The sequence below is a fragment of the Homo sapiens genome, chromosome 15, assembly GCF_000001405.40.
Source record: "Homo sapiens chromosome 15, GRCh38.p14 Primary Assembly".
Lineage (NCBI taxonomy): Eukaryota > Metazoa > Chordata > Mammalia > Primates > Hominidae > Homo > Homo sapiens.
Window position 1 is genome coordinate 69,147,619 of NC_000015.10, and position 22,169 is coordinate 69,169,787.

Here is a 22,169-nt window from a genome sequence, read left to right on the forward strand (position 1 = left end):
GAATTCATACACATTTAGTAAGAGCAGAGCTGGGACTAGAGCCAGTTACTTCAGATTTGAGCCCTCTCTTTGCCATGCTGCTTTGGGTTCCTCATTTCATCTTTCTGAGTTAACTCTTTATTAATTCAGTGGATAGACTCCTTAAAATATGAATCCTCATCATGGCGATGCATGACCAGCCCAGGAGAGCTGTATCTTCTTGTGGATGGAACACTTTTCTCATCTGTTCTCAGAAAATTGGAGTGAAAAATGTACATAAATTCCATTAAAATTAAGGTAAAAGGCAAGGCTATTCATGTCTCTTTCTAGCTTCCAGTCCAGCATCAGGAATATAATTGGTACTTAGTAAAGGATTGAGCTCTTTGTGTGTGTTTTTGTTTTTTATGTATCAACATTTGCTTTTAAATCCTTTCCAAATTCAAAGCCATATAAACAATTCTTTAAGGTTGTTTTGACTCTTTGATGGTTCCTACTTGGAGTTTACTTTTATCTTCATCCATTCTGACAACACCTAAGTGTATTTATTTCCAATTTACCAACATGAAAAATGAAAGCCGAGAGACAAAAAGAGAGCCAAGGACACAAGGTAAAGTCTGAGAAAAGAGTTGGAATTTGAAGGAAGTTATGAAGTAGGATTTTTTGTTATTGATTCAGTAGCCATCAGCTGGGAAGTGTCAATGCCCAGTCATACGTTCAGCACAGAATCCAAAGGCAAGGTGACAATGGTCCTTGCCATGGAGAGCCTCACAGTCTAGGAGAGTAGTCTAGGTTATCCAATATAATCGTTGCTGAAAGAGGGCCTGAACAAAGCACTGATAGAACACAGAGGAAGCAGCTGTGGGCACTGGCTGGGAGTTTGGGTGCTTCACAGAGGTGATAATGTTTAACCTGGACCTGGAGGGAGAGGTAAGAGCTGTCCAGGCAGAGGGAGCGAGGTGGGACAATAATCCTGAGCATAGGGAATACACATGGGGAGACACAGAAACATGAAAGGGCATGATGTGTACTGAGAAAGATAGACATCTGGTCAGTGTGGGAGGGTAGATGTGAAGGGTGGGCAGACAAGTAGGGAAGCAGTCTGGAAAATTGAGGTCAGATCATAAAGGAGTGCCAGTAGCATCCCTAGATACTCCCTTTCTGTGAACTTTATCTTTCTCATAGTCCCACCTTACCCCTGCTTCTGAGATCTTGCTCTCTACCTCTTCACAATTAAAACCTGCTCTGGAGAGTGTTGGATATCAGTCATTTACACTATAGTATAAATGACATTATATATAGACTATAAGCCAATGTGTTATTTCTTGGAACATTTTTTTAATTAGAAATTTTATTTCAGTTTATTAAACAAAAGGCTATGTCTTTCTTGTTTGAAGGGATGTTGTGGAGATTCTTCTTATGGCCAGTAAAATCCCAGCCCAGAGTGAGAGTCTTGTAGGGAAACATCCACCACTCTGTACCAGAGACAGAATCCTGGGCCAAACTAATCATATGTCCAACTCAATGTACCTGCATCATCCCCAGTCATTTTGAGCTCTCTTGGTCTCTGGATAAGAACTTAACTATCCCAAGAGCTGCTAACCACTTTTCCCAATAAAATATAATACATGCCCCATAATGATCAACCTGCAGAACTCTTATCCTTCATATCAGCAAGCCAAACTCCTTGGCATGGGGCAGAATGTAAACGTTAACAATCTCATAGCTCACTGCCTATAAAAACTCTTTAATGTGTGTCTAAGTAACAGGTGATTGTCCACTGCCTACAGCTAGAGTGATAATTCCAGCTCCTCTTTCCTGAAAGAGATGAGTATTGATTGTCTATGTGAGAACATGTGGGTTACAGTGATGTTTGGGGAAAGCCAGATCTTACTAACATATGGACACAGTTCATTTACAGTTCTGCAAGGGAGGGAGAAGAACGTTTCCTTAGGGTTTTCTTTCCTTTTTTTTTTTAGAGACAGGGTCTCACTCTGTCACCCAGGCTGGAGTTTAGTGGCATGATCATGGCTCACTGCACTTGGCTCCTAGGCTGAATCAATCGTCCCACCTTACTCTCCCAAAGAGCTGGGACTACAGGTGTGTACCACCATGCCTGGTCCTCCTTTCATTGTTGATTGGTGTTAGGTACTGCCTGATCTCTTAACTTATAAGTGCCATTCTCATCTCCCACTTGCTGCCATCCTTGAAGTCTACTTGACTTGGTATTAGAAGGCACTTGGCTGATTGTTAAACTCCATTCTCACTGATTTTTCTCAATTACTCCTTTAACCTCTTCTTTCTGCCATCTCTCAGGTCCATCCCCATAGATGGCCTCTTGACTTGTCTCACCTCCTAAGCTCTGGTTTCCTGATCTCCCACTGCATTAATGGACTTTGTTCCACGCCTTACTGTCCTCTGTGGTTGCCAAGGCTACTTTGTTTCCTCCTGTATACAACTCTATCCAATCCCTCCTCCAGTATTACTACCCCGGAGGATTGACATTGAGTCAGTTGTGCTGTGGCTGTCACTTCTGTTCCTTGGACATGGTCCCTACACCAGGAAAGAGGTTCTTGTCTTGTTCCCCTGTGTGCTGAGCCTCTGCCTGTGCCATGGTCCAAGTTGCCAGATCTATATCTCCTCCTTTTGCTTGAACCCCTGCCCTGCCTGATTCCTTTCTAAGTGTTCCTGCTGTATCCTTTAGAATAGAGACTCCGTCTTGTCCTCACTGTGAAAACTGTGTTCCCAGGGACTGGAGTCTTGTGGGAGCCCCAGTCCTTGGAGTCCAAGACTCCCTGCTATCATGCTCAGCTAATGCCAAGTTATGGCTGCTAGGACCACCTTTGACTTCCAATCTGGGCTCTGATCCCTTGCCTGTCCATCTCATCTCTGGTCACTGGAGTTTGTTTCCTTGCATGGACTTCCTGCTGCCATCTGTTGCTGGGTCTGACCAGAAATCTGCCATGTCTCACTGGTTAATGCCAGAATAGGCCAACTGCTCTGACAAACAATCCCACGTCTCAGTAGCTTAACACAGTAACAGGTTTATTTCTCATATCAGTCCAAGAGTTCGACAATCTACTACAAGATGATTCGTGGACATGCTCCTTCCATCCAGTGGGCCCTCCATCTTCTAAGACCCTGGAATCCTTAACTGGTTCCTTTGTATCCAGCCAGCCAGTGGATGAGAGAGGCAAGACAGCAAAGGAGATATCAGGAGATTTTTTAGGGGCTGACCAAGAAGTGGTATTCATTGCTCTGACTTCATCATCACTGGTTAAAACTAGTACCTAACCTAACCTAGAAAATGAAGTCTTCCTGAGTGCCAGGGGAAAATGAAAAAATCTGGTGTACAAGTAGCATTTTCTCTGCTACGCAGTGGAACATCTGTTTTCTAAGTGCTATCTCTTTCCAACCCAGCCTATTTCTCCCCCTCCAGCTTATCATTCAGTCCAAAGTCTGGAAATGACTGGACTCCTGAGAAGAAATTTCAGAAGTCACGGAAAATGGGGACCAGGGTTTTTGCCTTCCTACCACCTGAGCAGAAGGTGGATCCCAGGGGGAAGCCCCCCTAGGGAGAACCTCCAGCCCTACATAATCTTGCAAACTGGGATCTTTTTGATAAGTGGCAGCCTTTCATTTCTTCCAAGAAATATTCTTTTTCCTCTCCCGGGGACTTGTTCAGAGAAGAGATACTCAAGTGATAGGTGCTTTGCAAATATCTAGATGGAGGGGGAAAATGGCATGAGAAAAAATTTAGACAAAACAATGTAGATCACCATGGAAACAATCTTTAGAACACACTGAGGAAAAGAAATCATTGTTAACATGGTTCATATTTTGCAGAGATATCCAATCACCAAATTCAATTTTAGACCTTTCAATCACGCTGCCTTCAAAATGCCAGGGTTGTTATGACCACAGAACATGCTGATTTTCTGGGATCCCTCCTCTTACTCATCTAATAACCTTTAATGAAGATACAGCTTTAATTAAGGCAACTTACTGTTTCCCTGTTGTTTAATTTGAAATCAGTGAAAGGTCAAGTTACCATTAACACAGTGAGTTTACTAAGCTATTTTAGAAGTATTTTTATTCTGACAGCAGAAGCTTATAAGAATATGGCAAAAATATTTAGTTGAAATGTGAACAAGGAAAATAGGAGGTTTGTCTTTTGCATGGCATGGTAAGAAAAAGAGAAACCATTCTTAGTTACTCAAAAGCAGTTTTTCTTAGAATTTTCTGCCCTAATATACGTGAAAAAGTCTACAGGTATGGATGACTGTTGGTCAATAATAATGCTTCAATATGGCCATTTAAATAAAACCTTTGGGTGTTGCTAATGAACAGTTTGTTCTGGGGGCTTCTAAAGAAATTTCAGAAGAAAAGCAGTGGCTTTTGCAAGTGAGATCTCAGAGACAGAGGGTCACCACCATCTAGGTGCTGGGCTTCCACCTTGCAGGCACAGAAATGTAGTGTTTGCCCATGGTTATCTGCCCACCAGTCTCATGGGGCTTCATCCCTGTTCATTCTCCAGGTTCCCAGTCTTTCTGGGGAAAAGTTTCTCTCTCTCTCTCTCTCTCGTTACACACTTTAAAAGCAAGGATGTCTTTCTCATTGGAAGGCAAGGCCAGAGTTTTATTGGATAGTCCCAGGATAGAAAGTTACAAACTATGCATTCTGAGGCCTTTTGGAAAATTTATATGTATAGTGTATATGTTAGAGACAGGGTCTCACTTTGTCACCTAGGTTGGAGTGCAGTGGCACAATCATAGCTCACTGCAGCCTTGAACTCCTGTGATCCTCCCACCTCAGCCTCCTCAGTAGCTGGAACTGCATGTATGAACCACCACCCTCGGCTTGGAAAATGGATTTGTGCTCTGTTCTCTATTTTCCTTGGCCTTAGTCTTCTCAGTACATGATATGTGTGGGCTGAGGGAGAAAAGAGCCAGTGTGCTTATGTGAAATAGGAGGCAAGTCTTGATACAACTATGAGCTCTATTTCTTCCTTTCTCTCATTTCTTCCTACAAATATTTGATGAGCGCGTACGACGTATTAGGTATTCTCTCTGGTGCCACTAGTAGTTCTTTTGTGTGCATCTTTTCCCTCTCTGTAGCTTTTCTTCTTCCTACTTTAGGTATCATATTTCTTTCTGTCCTCCACTTCCCTGTGACCTCAAAACCTATTCTCAGGAATAGGTTGAGCTGTGAGTTGTTTGCACTTTGGTGCAAATGTAAGTTGCTTTAATTTAATCTTCCGTTGTTGTATCAAATGATTCCCTGTTCAAGAAATTTTAGACATCAGTTTGCAAGCAGGGGAGATATTTTCAAAGTAGAAGCCCTTCTCCAAAACCTCAGAGTCACACCATCTGTTGACCACCTACTTGGAATATGCAAGAGATGGGTCCTTTCCTTGGCTTTCATGTATAATCAGAACAGATAATGGAATTGACCAACCTCAGAAAAACATGCCAACATTGCTATTAGGATAAAGTCCCAAAGCCTTTTCCATAGCACACAAGACCCTGCATAATCCTGCCTCCTACCTAACTCTTTAGACTCTTTCTTTATCATTGGAGGAAAGCCACATTGGAATTTTGTCAGATCTTTGATCAAAATACCATCTAATCTTAGCATGCTTCTGCTTGGAGTGTTCTGCTTGTCAACCTCCTTCACCGTGCTAACTCCTACTCCTGCTTCACGTCTCATCTTGGATGTTACTTCTTCTGACAAGCATTCACTGACTCTCAGGGACTTAATGAGACTGGGATTAGGCCCCCTGATATATGATCTGATAGCATCATAATTTTATTATTTTTTCTTTTTTTAAAAAATTATACTTTAAGTTCTGGGATACATGTGCAGAACGTGCAGGTTTGTTACACAGGTATACACGTGCCATGGTGGTTTGCTGCATCCATCAACCCATCATTTACATCAACATTAGATATTTCTCCTAATGCTATCCCTCCCCTAGCCCCCCACTCCCCGACAGGCCCTGGTGTGTGATGTTCCCCTCCCTGTGTCCATGTGTTCTCATTGTTCAACTCCCACTTATGAGTGAGAACCTGCGGTGTTTAGTTTTCTGTTCTTGCGTTAGTTTGCTGAGAATGATGGCTTCCAGCTTCACTCATGTCTCTGCCAAGGACATGAACTCATCCTTTTTAATGGCTACATAGTATTCCATGGTGTATATGTGCCACATTTTCTTTATCCAGTCTATCACTGATGGGCATTTGAGCACAAGTAATTTTCATAGCACTTCTCATAGTTGTGCTTAGTTATTTATTTCACAGAAGTATACTTCATTAATTTTAGTCTTCACACTGTCTTGTCTATTATTTTGTATCAAACATCTATCAGAGTGCTGGGCTCATAGTAAATATCTGTGGAATGTATACATAACCAATCTTAAATACTAAATCTCAAAGTCAAAACTTCATCAAGAGTCCCCTTGCAGTTTGGTAATAAGCTGATTAGCTCTGCCTTGCTGAGTGGTCACCTACTGTGAAGGTAATTCCATCTTGGACAGAATCTGTACTTGGGTTGTGCCCTCATTGTCTCATGTCTAGGATTTCCCCACTTCAGCTCATGAGATCATACCAGAATAATCTTCCCCTAAACTCTGGTTTGACCAGGTCATTCTTCTGCTCAAAAGCCTCTGATGGATTGGAGTTGGCTACAGAATAAAGTTCAGACTCTACAGAATAAAGTTCAGACTCCACCTGGCCTTCTTTAAGCCCTTTTGTATGTTGATCCTGACCTCTATTTCTATATTAACTTCCTTTCTGAGATGAATTGTTCCTTCCACCAGACATTTTTACTCACTGACTTTAAGCTTTTGTTTACATTATTTTCTCTATCCAGAAGCACCTCCTATCCTTCTGTTTATAAAACTCATATTCCATCTTCTAAGAGAACAACTCATATTCTGAGAGAACAACTCATATTCCATCTTCTCTGTGCAATAGTCTCAGGCCACTAGTGTTAGGACTCTTTCAGGTGCAAGTGGTGAGACTGATCTCAAATTGCTCTAAGTAAAAAAGAGAACTTACTCTTAATACATGCAAGGTACTGTGTATTTCGAATTTTCCTTTAGTCTGCATGAGTTCTCCCCCACCCCCCGCAAAGGAAAATGGAGATATTTTACCTATTCCTGTGATAACAGTATCTCAGTTTTCCTTTGTGGAACCACCCACGTCTCACGCTCCATTCATGCAGTTCCATGAGGCTGACCTCACCCATGGGCTCCAGGAGTGGAAGTTTTTTCTATCTCTGGGGGAAGTCCTCTCTCCATCTGCTTCCTTCTTCCTACAGCTTCTGGCAAGATCTGTAGCTTATACTTGCATTCTTACACGTAGGAGTCATCCAATAAGTATTTGTTCATTATATTTCAGAATGGGGGGTTGAGGGAAGGGTGGAAGACTCAGATTTTCTCTGGGATTGTGTAGTTCAAAAACTTAAATTTGCCCTCACTGCTAAAGGAAATCGAAGGTCAACACGTCTGTGTTATGGCATTTGAATCATGGAGATCCAAATGTATCTCAAATATATTTTCTTAGCTATAAGTTATCTCCTGGTCAATTTGGAAATCATTCAACTCTTTGTATGTATGGCCCATCTATATGGCTCTTATATATGTAAAATGAAGTTATACAGGCAATGTACATAACTCAGCCAGCTGGTCTCCTTTTTATGGGGATTTTGCTCATTTTTAATTTAATAAAGAAATCATTCTTTCACTGAATTTTAATTCACGATGATAAGACTTCAGAAATATAGTATTATATTCAGAAAGAATTTCAGTCTTCTTGCTGTCAAACACCTCTTGCTCTCACATGGGCACTTTAATGTTGTCAGGATGTAAATTCTATTTTGACAGAGTCCTTATAGATGGAATTTTCAACTTTTTATTCTTAGCTAATATGGATGGGTAAGAGGATGTTTGAGTTTTCTCTTCTGTTTTCATAAAAACATACTTTCCCACAAGACTAGATGAAAACAGTCTGGTTGTGAAGCATTCTAAGGTTTGGAGAGACAAAGTTTTCTCTGCTCCTCAAGACCTACTGTTAACTATCTCCAAATGGCTCTGCGGTTATTGTTATCTCTAATTGCTGTGATGCTTTGGAGAGTCTGAAGGCACTGGAATCGTTGTTTCCACCAAGAAATGGTTTCTTCTACTTACTTTTGGTGCAGTTCCAGTTGAGTTTCCGATGTAAAGAGTTATGGCTACAGAGCCATTGTCCTTTGCTCTTTACATAATGTTAGGGCCTGATGATTAGAAGGATGTAAGTTTTTACCTCTTTTGTCCAGGAATAAGAGTAGACTGAACTACACTCAACACTTGTATTAGCTATCTATTGCTATGTAAAAAGTGATCCCAACATGAAGTAGCTTCATAATAAACGTGTTCAACAATAAACATGTATTATCTCACACATTTTCTGTGTGGAATCTGGGAGAGGTTTAGCTGGGTGGTTCTGGCTCAGGATGTCTCATGAAGTTATGTCAAGGTGTTGGCCTGGGGCAGTAGTCATCTGAAGGCTTTGCTGGGGCTGGACTGGGGTTTTCAAGGTGGCTCATTCACATGGGTATTGGCTGCAAGCCTAAGTTTCTTGCTTATGGAGACCCCTGCTTGAAGGCATGGCAGCTGGCTTCCTCCAGAATGAGTGATCAAAGAGAGACACCAAGGAAGAAGCTGCAATGCCTCTTATGGCCTTGTCTCAAAAGCAGTCACTTTGTCCATATTCTACTCGCTAGAAGTGAGTCACTAGGTGTAGCCCATACTCAGGGTGAGGGGAATTGAGGCCTACTTTTTGAGAGATGGTATATCAAATAATTTGGGGACATATTTTTAAACTGCCACTGTTCTTTTATTTCCCTCCTTTATGATTGGCTAGGTGCAAAACACATACAGATGAACAAACCAATCAAGGTCAGGGGTTTAGTCTGGAGTCAGCAAATGGACAGATAAGTACTGTTCCCTCAGTCTTGGGGTAATTTACAGAGAATTTCATGCTTCCAACCTAACAAAATAGGTGGTCCCCAAAGCTCTAAAAAGATGAAGTGGAAATTCGGTCTGAGAGAGCCAGATTTTCAAACAATACTGGCTTCTGTGCCCTTGTGAATATGCAGTGGCCAGGAGGTAGCTTTACTCGGGGAGTGCTCAGAGAATGGGACACCAGGAAGGCTTCTGAACAGGGATAGAACTGCTTGGCTGTGCTCACTTAGACTAATAGGTCAGAATGCAGGCAGCAGATGGTAAGACCTGAGTAAGAAGCTAGCTAGTTCTGTTCTGCAGGTTGGCAAAGGCCAGTCACAGATGGTGACAGTGAGGCTACAAGTAGATCCCAGTTCTGGGATCAAGCAAGTGCCAAAGCCTCACACTAAAATTATCTGCAGCACTGCTGAGAGACGTGCAGGATCCACAGGCAGAATTCTAGGCTTGGATAGCTAAAACAGAGACCATAGTGGTTCTGGCCCCTTGGTGGCTCTAAGTGCAAAACATGAGGAAGGGAGCACTTGGTACCAGATGGAGAGGTTGCGGGAACAGAGCATGACTGTCAGACCACAGAGTGAAACATCGCACCATAAAGACAGATGGCGAGAGGGGTGCCCCCCTCCGTGGCAGCTCACTGCCTTTTGAGTACTCTTACTGCCTGTGTACCCTTCAAATGGGCCTCTCCAAAAGCTTCTACTTCCAAAGCATTTTTATCTAGAAGTCAAATGTAAGTGTTTCAAGCTTGATTCCAGGCTGAGAGCACTTCATAGCTTTTCTATTTTCTCACATTTAGAGACTACCAGGTTTCTGATGCACTAATTAACAAGGGAATCATAGAATGGTGTAATTTATGAAATTGAGCATTGGAGAAAAGGATAGAGTCTTTCCAGTACATTCTTGCTATTAAGATACTCGTGCAAAGGCAGAGGGTGTGGGAAACAGAAAATGCACATATTTATACTTCAAGGTATAGATCAACTCTACATGTCATTACCCTACCAAGAAATTCAGTGGCTCTGCTGCTACCACCTTTAGATGCAGACAGGCAGGGCTTCCCTTTAAAGGCTCTGCTCTGGCTCTTCCCCAGCTGTGCTCCTACATCTGAGGAGTCCATTAAGCCAAGAAATGTGTCCACCTGGAGGTGACTGTACCCCTTCAGACCTCACATCAGGTACCCAGGAGCCAGTATTCCCTGCCCAAATGGCTCTGAGCCACTTCCAGAGCCTGCATAGGCTTCTCCCCTAGATCCTGAGATATGCACCCCTGGACCTGTGGAATAGCCAAGAAATGACTGTTTTGGAGGGGAGAAAGTGAAGACAGAGCTTGGACATGTGGGCTAGTGCGTTCATGGAGTGGAGGGTACCTGGCACTGTAGGGCTGAAGGGGCCATGGGAAGCAAAGGGTAAAGGCTGCTCCATGTGGGGAGCAGTTCTCTCTGACCTGCCTTGTTCCAGCAAGGAGCTCTGAGAAGTCTCAGAATTCTCAATTCAAACTGGGTCTTCCAAGTTGTTATGAAAGTACATTTGTCAAGGTGAAAGGATATAATGCTTTTAGTACTCCATTTGTTAGCTTTTTAACTTTCACATATTTAGACATTTGGTATGTGGGTCTCCATGTGTAGCCTTCTCATGGTCCCTACAAATATTAAAATTGGTCCCGGCTCCCCATTTAATATGGAATCCAAGTCAAATCGGCTTGGCCTGATTTTTAAGGCCTTTTACTATTTGATTTTTCTCTAATCTTACCTCCCGCTACTCTCTGCAGGAATCTTCTATCTGTCAAACCTGTCGACCTACAGCCCAGGCTCAGCCCACATCCTTTTCTCTGTGCTCAGGTTCACATTATTTTTCTCCTCTGAAAGGCCTCCGTTTCTGCCTTGGATTTATATGGCCAACGTAGTGTTTCATTATGACCCAGCTCAAGCCTCACAGCCATGTCTCCTCCTCTGGACTCTTCTAACAGCTTTTGTCTCAGCCACTTATTGGCACTCAAAGTGTGCAACTGTGTGTGGCCATTTTTCATATTATGCACAAGGTGTGGCTATAAGATAAGGAGACATAAATATGCAAGTTTTCAAACCAGGACAAGGGACAGGGAAAAAAAAAAAAAAAAGAAGAGTTGCCAAAGAATCAGGAGAATGTAGTTAGGCAGCTACTAAGGGAAGAGATGTCAGCATTGTCAATAAGCTGAGAGAGGTCATGAGAAAGATACCCCAAAATAGACCATTATTCTAGAAGGTAAGAGGTCTTTTGTAACCATTGAAAGAATAGCAGATTGTGTGAGCAAAAGCAACGCTGTAGTGGGAAAAATAAGAGATGAGAAAGTGGAGACAACAAGTATACTTTTATTTATTTATTTAGAGACAGGGCCTCAATCTGTGGCCCAGGCTGGAGTGCAGTGGCTTGGTCACAGTACACTGCAGCCTCAACCTCCCACACTCAAGCGATCATCCCATCTCAGCACCCCGCCTCCCCCACCGCGAATAGCTGGGACTATAGGTGTGTGCCACCACACCCGGCTAGTTTTTTATTTTTTGCATATAGGGGAGCCTTATTATGTTCCCAGACTGGTTTCAAACTCCTGGCCTCAAGCAATCCTCCCACCTTGGCATCCCAAGGTGCTGGGATTACAGGCATGAGCCACAGTGCTCAGCAGCAAATATAATGTTTCCCAAGAAGTGTGATTCCTAGGAGAAAGGAGAAGGTAGTTTGGGTGGAAGAGATTGGGTGGCTTTGTTCTGTTCAAAGGATGGGCGAGACTATGTTTGTGGGAGAAAGATTTAGGTTAGAGGAAGAAATTAATAATGGGGAAAGAAAGAATAGCTGAATAAAATCTGGGAATGGCTGGGATCCAGGGCACAGGTGCAAGATTTAACCTTGAGGAGAAAGGGCACTTCTTGCTGTGGGTGAGGGAGTGAAGAGGGTAAGATGAATGAAGGTACAGGATAGGCATAATAATGAAGAGCCTGGATTTAAGGGTGAAGCCACTGGCTCACATTATAGAGGAAAGGCTAGGAAAGCCGAATTTTCTGGGGCCAGGTCCAGATTTAATATATTTAAGTATAACAGTCTTAATTCATTCCTTTCACCTTATTCAGTGCCCTGGGTGTGCCAAATACTACTGGGCACTGGGGTCTACAAAGGTACGACTTTTCATGTAATGTTGGAATTTGTTATGTTGGTAACTCGAGATTTGCATATATTTAACAGTCTTAATTCATTCCTTTCACATTATTCAGTGCCCTGGGTGTGCCAAATACTACTGGGCACTGGGGTCTATAAAGGTACGACTTTTCATTAATTTTGGAATTTGTTATGTTGGTAACTCGAGATTTGCTTTTCATTCTTCTGGAAGGCTGTATGTAGAAATAAATACAGTCATCAGACGAGTTCTTTGTCAGACCAGATGTCCTGGGTTGGGGTTTGGAAAACATGGGCATCTTAACAATGGTGCCCTGTTTGAGGTGGAGAGGGAGGAGAGGCCCAAATCGGGGAAAGGAATTAAATGGAGGTTTAGACGCGGGTAACCGGAGTGGGTGGGCCTTCAACCTGGAAGATGGGAATCCCCAGCGCACTTCGGGCAGCGCTGTAACCAAGGGTAACCGCACCTCGGTTTACACCGGTGTGAAGACCAGCCTCTTCCCCAAACCAGGTGTATCTACGGCGGCCTAGCAGGACCACACACAAGCCAAGCACGTCACGTCATTCGAGCTACCTTACCGCGAAAGTCCACTGCCTCCTACTACTTCTGGTCACTACTACCTTTGCTCACAGTTTATTAAGGAGGAGCGGAGAAGAAGAGGGGCGGAGAAGGGGCGGGGAGAATCACCTTTCCTTTTTTACAATTGGTCGTAGTAGACTCCGAGTCCTGCCGCCCGTCCTGCAGCCGACAGGCTGCCAGGACTGTCACTCGAGGAGCTGCCGCTACCGCCCCCCGCCGTGGCCCCGCCCCTTGCCGTGGCTGGGATCTCGCGGGAAGAGCTGCGGGCACGGCGGTGGCTCGGTCTCCCGGCTGCGCGCGGAGCGGGAGGGCTCTCCTCACACAAGCGCTTCCTTGCCGAGAGGCTGGAGCTGCGGCACCGCAGGCCTGAGCCACCCCTTCTCTGCTGTCTCCTTCTCTTCCTCAGGGCTCCCGTGTCTGCTCGCCCTCCGACGCTGCTCAGGTTAGAAAGCCCGGAGCGCGTCTCCGCTGAGGAGCGGTCGGGGAGCGGGGACACGGAGCAGCCGGAGCAGGCGGGCTCCTGACGGGGGCGGCTCTGGGGGCTGCGCGGCGCTGCCTGGTGGGCGCGAGGCTTGGCGGGGTTTGGGAGTCCGGGGGGCGAGGAGGCGGTGCAGTGGGATCCGGGCGCGGGCGCCCAAGGGCGGTGTAGCGGGTGCCGGAGCTCCCGAGGTGAGGGGGCAATGTATTAGGGATCCTGGGGGCTCTTCCGGCTTGGGGTAGGGGTGGGTGGCGGCACACGGGGTCCTAGGTCTTTGACGTCGAGGGAGATTTATCAGGGTCTTGAGCTTCTTGGAGGTGGTGTAGCGGGGTTCCGGGACAAGGGGTCTTTTTACCCGGGTCCCGAGCTCTTTGGGGCAGAGAATGCAGTTTAGCAAGGTTTACACCGGTGTAAACCTTGTCTCTGGAGGCAGATCATCGGGGTCTTGGGGGTTCTTTGAGCGGGCGTGGGCGTCCGTTTCGCATTGCTGGGATGAAGAAGCAGTGTGTCCGGGTTCTGGGGAGAGGGGTCTGTTCATCGGTGTCTCCGGGTGAGAGAGCGATGTATCCGTTCCGCTGGGGCCGGGGCCGCCTTGGGGGGTTGTTGGGGGCTGAGGGTGTGTAGCGGCGACCAGCGTCTGGCCGGGGTTTCTGCTTTGCCCGGAGCGGGGCGGTAACTTGGCATGGTCTCCAGTCTTTTGGGGGCGACGGGGCGAGTTAGCTGGCCCCCGGGCAGTCTCTCGGGGTGGGCGCGGCTCCGCAGGCGCTGGGTCCGCTGAGGGCGGGAGAGGGCTTTGGTGCTACCGCGCAGGCTGGGCAGCATCCTGAAACGTTTTTGTTCAGGTCTCCTTCTCTCTGGATGAGATTTACTCAATGCTTAGTTGGAGGATTGATCGGTGTTGTTGCCTAGTTGAAGAAGCAGTGCGTTTGTTCTGCAGTTTTCTTTTCTCTGCCCCGGGATCCCTGTGGGGGCGCGCTGGTCTCGCTGGAGCTCCGGGAGCTAGAGTGGCAGCACCTTAGGTGGGCGTTTGGTCTGCAGGTTCTTTAGGAGGCCGGTGTCCGCAGGTTGAGCGTGGATACAGCTCCTGAGCAACTGGAATCTGTTGAGGGTGGGGAAGACTGATTTTGGCTTGCTTTCCTAGGTGGTGGTCTGCTTTGCTCATCCTGCATGATTAGATCTGTTCTGAAGTCTTGCCTGAGTGAATGTTAGGCAGAGTCGGATAGTGCAGGGAAGCGTGTTCTGTCTGGCTTCTTTCTGTCCTTTGAAAAGCATTTGTAGAGAGGGATAACGTCAAATTCAGCCTCCAGAAAACAATGGAATTTGAAATCCCAAAGCTAGAACTCTGCAAAAACGTTTTCTGTGACCTGTAAGGATGGTTAATCGAGCTTTTTTAGAGAATTCTGCTTAACAGTTTCATTGTATTGTAAAAGTGTATTTAGCCTTGGATATTACAGAGGTTTTGGTAACTAGCGTAGGCGTAGGTGGGATTTAAATAAAATGACTTGTATGTATGTGTATTGGTTAAAAAAAAAAACAGCGTATAGGTGAGAAAGCCTATGTGTTTGCCTGACATTTCTTTTGGTTAGTTACTCTATCACAGAGGCCTGTATATGAAAGTTAATGTGGCAGGCAGTGAAGTCCGTACTCAGAGCTGTTCTGTAAATATGTAATCTGGGGTTAACAGACAAATTTGAGTATACCAAAGCAAATAATTTTGCCTGCCTTAGTCTTTTTCTTCGTGTCAGTTTTTTTTTTTTCTTGTTTTTTGGTTTGTTTCTTTTGAAACAGGGACTTATTCCGCCTTCCAGGCTAGGTTGTAGCATCGCTACCATGGCTCACTGCAGCCTCGACCTCCAAAGCTCAAGCAGCCCTCCCAGTTCAGCTTCCCATCCCCACCCCCAGTAGAGGAGCTGGAACTACATGCATGTGCCACCACGCCTCACTAATTTTATTTATTTATTTATTCAATTAATTAAAGACAAGGTCTTGCGCTGTTGCCCAGTCTGGTCTTGAACTCCTGGCCTCAAGTGATCCTTCAGCCTCAGCTTCCCAAAGTACTGGGATTTAGAGGCGTGAGTCACCATGCCAGGCCTCTTAGATACAATTTTTTTTAAAAGATGTCATTTTTTCTGATCTTAGAACCAGACAGATTAGGGATAATGTACTTAATTTTGGAATTTTACATCATTTTGAAAAACAAAGGAATCCCGCACAGCAATATTTAAGACTTTGAAGGGTTTAAAATAAGTTTTGTTGTTGTTGTTATTCAGACCAAAATACCTGGTTGACATTTACAGCTATCACAACTGATTGCTTGAGCAGATATTTGGTTGGAATGACAGCCCCCAAACCTGTAAGCAGATCTTATTTTTCCTTTTTTTGAGAGAAAGACAAAGAACAAATTAAGCAGGTTTCAGAAACTTTTTTTTTTCTAAAAAGCAGCTTTCATCATTTCTAAGTAAGGCATAGACTGATAAGTCAACACATATTTGATTATCTGCTAGGTGTCACAGCGCTGGATGTACACTGATTAAAGCTGTCATGTGACTTTCCCCTTTAAGTCCAGAGAGAGGAAGAAAACAAATAAATACAGTTAAAAATTGTGATACTGCTAAGGAAGAAATACACAAGGTACTTAAGATTCAGCTCTCTTTTTTTAGTAACCCCTGAATGATGATACGATTGATGTGTGTTGTGATAATAAGAAACCAAGCAAAATAGTTAACTGCCTTCTGAATTAGTAAAGAAAGATTAAATTACAATCAGTAGAGTTTTAGGTGTTAAATGTATGTTGACTCTTTGTAGATGATTGTGCTACGTAAGCATACAAAAGCCTATAAGGATACACATCAGACTTAACCATGTTTGGATTCTTCAGGAGGGAGTTGCAGAGGCATAGAAGAGAGCGGTTTAATTTTATAGTTTTATATTACTTGAATCTATTTCAATGAGCAGACATTACTTTTAAGTACAAGTTAGAGAAACCCTAAAATTAAAACATTTCAGTCACTATGCAAATGGTGAAATGTACAGTATTTATAAGGCTTTTGTCAGTATTGCCAGTTGTACCCGTGTATACTAATGAAGGAAAAGGGTATTTCAAGTATCTGAAAATTATAAGGGTGTGCAGGGTGGGGTGGGTAGCACAACAAAATAAGAAAAGACACAGACCTAAGTAAAATGTTAAAACATGTTAAGTTTGTTGGATATTTAATTATGTAAAGATAAATTAATTTTAGGACTTTCTTTTATCAAATTTAATTGTTTCCTGAGTTTGCAAAAGGAAGTTTTTAGATTTCCTAGAGGAGAATAGGGTGGGGGAATAGGTATTCTTATTGTGGTACAGACTTCAGGAAATTTCTTTTTGTCAAACATATACACATCTGATAGATATATTTTGCTTGTGAAGCATACGAACCATACAAATAATTTTATAGTTTCATTATTACACTGCTGAAAATGACAGTACCAAAGTGTCTTTTGAATTATCATTCAGAGTTCTAGAATCATAAATATGATATACTAAAGCAGTTTCTAGAAAGGAAATCATAAGACATGAATTCCAGTCTTCACTGTGCTACTCATGGTGTGTCCTTGGATAATTCCTTAATCTTTCAGGGCCCCAGTTTTCATATATACATATATGAATTATACTTACATACATTTTATATATAATATATACTTTTGCTTTAATATATACATATATGACATGTGTATGTTGTTATATACATATGCCATATATGTATATAATATGTATAATATATAAAATATGTGTATAAAAAGATACATATACACACACTTAGAGTTTTTGTGTTGCAAGTCTGAAGTATTGTATGTACAAAAAGGAAGAGATACCTTAAGAGTAGCTAGTTCTCAAGAAACAACTAGTTCCATGTAATTTTTACATATTATACCTAATTTTAGAAGCCTCTTCTTTTTAAAGGTACATGGCAAGTATTTAATTCCAGAATATAGATTCATGAAGGTGAGTGATTTTCTTTAGATAATTTAGCTTTATCTGTTAAAGCATTATTATTTTTAGTTCCAATCCCTGGTTCTGTAGTAGATTATCTATATAATAATATGTCCTTACTTAACTCTGGATATAGAATGAGGTCTCTAGTGGTTGCCTCCAGACTTGATCCCCTTTAATCCATCCTTACATTACTGCCAAGGTGATTTTTCTGAAGTGCAAATCTATTCATTGCTTCTTTTCTTGTTTCTTTTCTCTTTTCTTTCTCTTTCTTTCTTAGAAATGTTACTGAGATTTATTTATTTATCTTTCAACTTTTCTTTTAAGTTCAGGGGCACATGTGCAGAATGGGCAGGTTTGTGACACAGGTAAACATGTGCCATAGTGATTTACTGCACAGATCATCCCATCACCCAGGTATAAAGCCCAGCATCCACTAGCTATTCTTCTCTTCCTGATGCTGTCTCTCCCTGCCCTTCTTTCTTAAAGCCCATACTTTATCAGCCCAACTCTCTATCGTTACAAGGCCTTTCATCATCTGACTAATCTTATGCATTTCCCCCACCATAAATCTAAAGCTGCACTTGTACTAATACGAGCAGTTTACTGAATGAGCCATACTGTTTCCTGACTCAGAGCCTTCACATATGTTCTCTCCACTATTTAGGATGTCTTTCCTTCTCTTGTCTTGCTGGCAAAGTCTACTGATTTTTTAAGATACAACGTAAGCACTGTCTGCTTTTTTTTTTTTTTTTTTTTTAGCTCTTTTTTAGTTACCATTTTTTCTTTTTTTTCTTTCTTTACTGTCTGCTTTTTAAGTCTTCTGGTCTTCCCTCTTCCCAACCCTAGGTGTTATATACTCACTGTATCATGTTCATTCATTCTCTTGTGTTTACTAATGTGTTGTAATTAAGTCTCTCTTTCCTCCTGGACTCAAAGGCAGGTTTATATTTGTCTTATTACTTTTTGACTTCCTGTTGCTTGTTTATGCATAGTTGGCTATCATTACATGTTTGAACTCTCAGTACCAAGATTGATGTGTTCATGATGTCAGAAGTGAGTTAAACTCAAATCTCAGTCTTATCCTGTTTTCCTAAAATTTGGGAGTTTCTAAAGTATCTTATTCTCTTGCCCTGTGACCATAAGCTGATATGAGAATGGTAGTTCTTAGCTTTGTGTTTAAGAAATAAGACTTCTCGCACTTTAAGAGGTGATGGTTACACTGTTAAACTTGCAGAAAAGTCTTGTAGAATTTTGAGGCAACTACTAATCCTTATCTCTAAAATTGCTAGAAGAGATATTAACTAGTTTGGGTGTTTTAAATCTTGGACATCATTATTTGGTAGATATTTTACCTTGGCTGCTTTTTACTTGGAAAATGATAGTAGCTGATGTATGCAGGTTTTTATATAGGCTTTAATAATTGCTTTACATACATTGCCATTCATTTTCAAAATAAATCCTAAACATTTAATAATTTGCTCAGCGTCATTATCTACTAAGATGCAGACTATGACTACATGTAGGTCTGACTGTCTCCAGACTCTATGCTTTTTCTAATACTACACTGTTTTCTGAATATGACTGCTTATTCAGTGTTTAAAATTATTAACATATTTAATTCATTTTGTAAATTGAAGAAGTAGGTTGTAAAGTTTATCCATTCAGTTCTTCCAAAAAAGCTAAAGTAGACAATTTGAGATTGATTGGACTTTAGAGACCATTTAATCCAACTCCTTCCTTTAGCATATGAGGAAGCACACATGCAAGAGTGGTGGAATGGGGTGCTGAAGATCACACAGTTAGTTGGTCTATAAGATTTTCTTTGTTAAGCTGGTTGTGAACACTGGTGTTATAAAACTATTACTCGAGGCCAGGCGCGGTGGCTTACGCCTCTAATCCCAGCACTTTGGGAGGCCGAGGCGGGCGGATTACCTGAAGTCAGGAGTTCAAGACCAGCCTGGCTAACATGGTGAAACCCCGTCTCTACTAAAAATACAAAAATTAGCCGGGCGTGGTGGCACACGCCTGTAATCCCAGCTATTCGGGAGGCTGAGGCAGGAAAATTGCTTGAGCCTGGGAGACGGAGGTTGCAGTGAGCCGAGATTGTCCAGCCTGGCCGACAGACCTAGACTCTGTCTCAAAAAAAAAAAAAAAAAAAAAAAAAGGCCGGGTGCGATGGCTCACACTTGTGATCCCAGCACTTTGGGAGGCTGAAGCAGGTGGATCACTTGAGTTCAGGAGTTCGAGACCAGCCTGGCCAACATGGTGAAACCCCGTCTCTACTAAAAATACAAAAATTAGCCAGGTGTGGTGGTGCACACCTGTAATCCCAGGTACTCGGGAGGCTGAGGCAGGAGAATTGCTTGAACCCGGGACGCAGAGGTTGCAATGAGCTGAGATCGCGCCACTGCACTCAGGCTGGGTGACAGAGCAAGACTCATCTCAAAAACAAAAAACAAAACAAAACAAAACAAACAAAAACTATTGCTTGAAAGGGATACCAGATGCTTGATTTTCCCCCTCAAGGGGAAGAAGCAAAAGCCTAGAATGACTTTTTATAAAAGTAATGTTGAGGATCTGAGAGTCTTAAGGACAATCAGAGAAAATCCTGACTTTGGATCATGACACATGGAGACACGCCAGTGCCTGAAGCACATGGTTCCCTAATCTTGGCTCCTTTCCTTCCTCTTTTTCTTTCTTAAAATTTGTCCACAGTTTACTGATCTTATGCCTGCTGAGTTGTTATTAGCATCAGTCTTACCAGTTATCATTTAAGTGCCAACCATGGGCCAACTAATAGGAATACAGAAATGCATAAAATCTAGTCACTGCCATGAAGAAGCTTGGTCTGTTTGGGAGCGGAAGGCAGTTTATATCTAATTGCAAGGTAGTGTATAAAGATAACCATGAGTAGTATAACTTTAGCAGCTCAGAAGATTAGGTAAATGTGGGCTGGGCTAGTGGTTACAGAAATTTCTATATAGAAAAGTTTCTACTTAAGTCTTTAAATGAAGAGTTGGAATGGTGTAGAAAGAGAAAAAGACTTGGGAAAAGTTTTTTTTTTTTTTTTTTAAATCTCAGCTTTTACTAATCTTACCTTGCTTACTTTCCTTCAGCCACACTCCTCACTGTTTCATGAGGTCTTTAACATGTTCTTTCAGATATCCAAATGTCTCCCTCCTTCACTTCCTTCAGGTCTTAATTAAAGTATTATCCTTTATCTGAGAACTTTACTGGTCACCTTGTTTAAAATGACAATATCTCTTCCACACATACTCTTCCTATCCTTCTTGCCTGCTTTGTTTCTTTTTTGTGCTTTTCACTATCCAACATACTCTAGATTTTTATTGTCTTTCTACTCCTACTAAAAAAAAGTGTAAGAGCCGGACACGGTGATGCATGCCTGTAGTCCCACCTACCTCGGAGGCCGAGGTTGGAGGATTGCTTGAGCCTAGGAGTTTGAGATCAGCCTGGGCAAAAAAGTAAGACCCTGTCTCAAAAAAAAGAGTTAAATTAAATGAAAAATTAAAAAACATAAGACCCTCCAGGATAGGGATTTTTACCCATTTTAGTCAATATTGTATCCCCAACATACAGAACGGTGCATTTTACAAAGTAGGTGCTCAAATTTTTGTTGAATTAATAAGACAGTGGAACTTTAAAGCAGGAGCTTAAAAGATCATTTGATCTAAGCCTCTCATCTCTTCTTTTCTTTCTTTCTTGCTGGCAGGCATGGAGGAAGAGGAACTTTCCATTCCATCTATTCCTTTTTTTTTTTTTTGAGACGGAGTTTCGCTTCTGTTGCGTAGGCTGGAGTGCAATGGCCTGATCTGGCTCACCGCAACCTCTGCCTCCCAGGTTCAAGTGATTCTCCTGCCTCAGCCTCCTGAGTAGCTGGGATTACATGCATGTGCCACCACTCCCGGCTAATTTTGTATTTTTAGTAGAGATGGGATTTCTCCATGTTGGTCAGGCTGGTCTCAAACTCCCGACCTCAGGTGATCCGCCTACCTCGGCCTCCCAAAGTGCTTGGATTACAGGCGTGAGCCACTGCCCCTGGCCCATCCATTCTGTTTTTTAAAAAATTTGATAGGACTCGAAGAAAAAATATATACAATAAAGTACACAAATCATAAGTATACAGCTCAATGAATTACATATGTAAACATGTAACCAACAATCAGATCAAGATAGAGAACATTTCCAGGACCTTGAAAGCTTCCCTCCTGTACTCTCTTAGTCATTGCTTAACGAAAGTTACCACTTTTCTGATACCCATCACTATAGATTAGTTGTGTTTATTCCTGAAATTCATATAAGTGGAATCAAATCATTCTTTTATGTCTAATTTCCTGTGTTGAACATTACATCTGTGAAATCCATGTTTTTTGAGTTAGTAGTAGTAATTCTTTTTCATTGCTCTGTATTATTTCATTATACGAGTGTCTATTTGCGTCTTCTGTTGACAGACATTTGGGCTGTTTCCAGTGTTTAGTTCTTAGAAACAAAGCTACCATAAACAATTTTGTGCATGTGTTTTGGTGGCCATAAAAATTCATTTTTTGGCAAAGCGCTTCATTTAAATATATAATAAAACATATCTCCATATATATACACACATATACACACATAATTCTTTTTTTTAATTATACTTTAAGTTCTGGGGTACATATGCACAACGTGCAGGTTTGTTACATATGTATACATGTGCCATGTTGGTGTGCTGCACCTGCAACTCGTCATTTACATTAGGTATATCTCCTAATGCTGTCCCTCCCCCCACCCCACAACAGGCCCTTGTGTGTGATGTTCCCCTTCCTGTGTCCAAGTGTTCTCATTGTTCAATTCTCACCTATGAATGATAACATGTGGTGTTTGGTTTTTTGTCCCTGCGATAGTTTGCTGATAATGATGGTTTCCAGCTTCATCCATGTCCCTACAAAGGACATGAACTCATCCTTTTTTATTGCTGCATAGTGTTCCATGGTGTGTATGTGCCACATTTTCTTAATCCACCC

General features: G+C 42.4%; 1 protein-coding gene and 1 pseudogene across 8 annotated transcripts in view, besides 3 other annotated features; one reads left to right on the forward strand and one right to left on the reverse strand.

Moving 5' to 3' along the window:
* Positions 12,679-13,179: an enhancer, noted in NCBI's record as "H3K27ac hESC enhancer chr15:69452636-69453136 (GRCh37/hg19 assembly coordinates)". NCBI's record gives its function as "activates a minimal SCP1, AML or CMV promoter by ChIP-STARR-seq in primed H9 embryonic stem cells {active_cell/tissue: H9 hESC(primed)}" and the evidence as "EXISTENCE:reporter gene assay evidence [ECO:0000049][PMID:30033119]".
* Positions 12,877-13,086: a silencer, noted in NCBI's record as "silent region_6596". NCBI's record gives its function as "represses an Ori minimal core promoter by ATAC-STARR-seq in GM12878 lymphoblastoid cells {active_cell/tissue: GM12878}" and the evidence as "EXISTENCE:reporter gene assay evidence [ECO:0000049][PMID:35858748]".
* Positions 13,017-22,169, forward strand: part of GLCE (glucuronic acid epimerase) — a 111,573-nt gene continuing 102,420 nt past the window's right edge. For 7 of the 8 annotated variants that reach the window (NM_001324094.2, XM_047432377.1, XM_047432376.1 and 4 more), the window contains exon 1: positions 13,017-13,139. The gene's annotated coding sequence lies outside the window, so the exon portion shown is untranslated. Of the gene's footprint in view, positions 13,140-15,679; positions 15,807-22,169 lie in introns of all 8 variants that reach the window. The other variant, NM_001324093.2, reaches the window with a different exon arrangement.
* LOC100421574 (family with sequence similarity 47 member C pseudogene) lies at positions 13,135-14,287 on the reverse strand (annotated as a pseudogene).
* Positions 13,287-13,396: a silencer, noted in NCBI's record as "silent region_6597". NCBI's record gives its function as "represses an Ori minimal core promoter by ATAC-STARR-seq in GM12878 lymphoblastoid cells {active_cell/tissue: GM12878}" and the evidence as "EXISTENCE:reporter gene assay evidence [ECO:0000049][PMID:35858748]".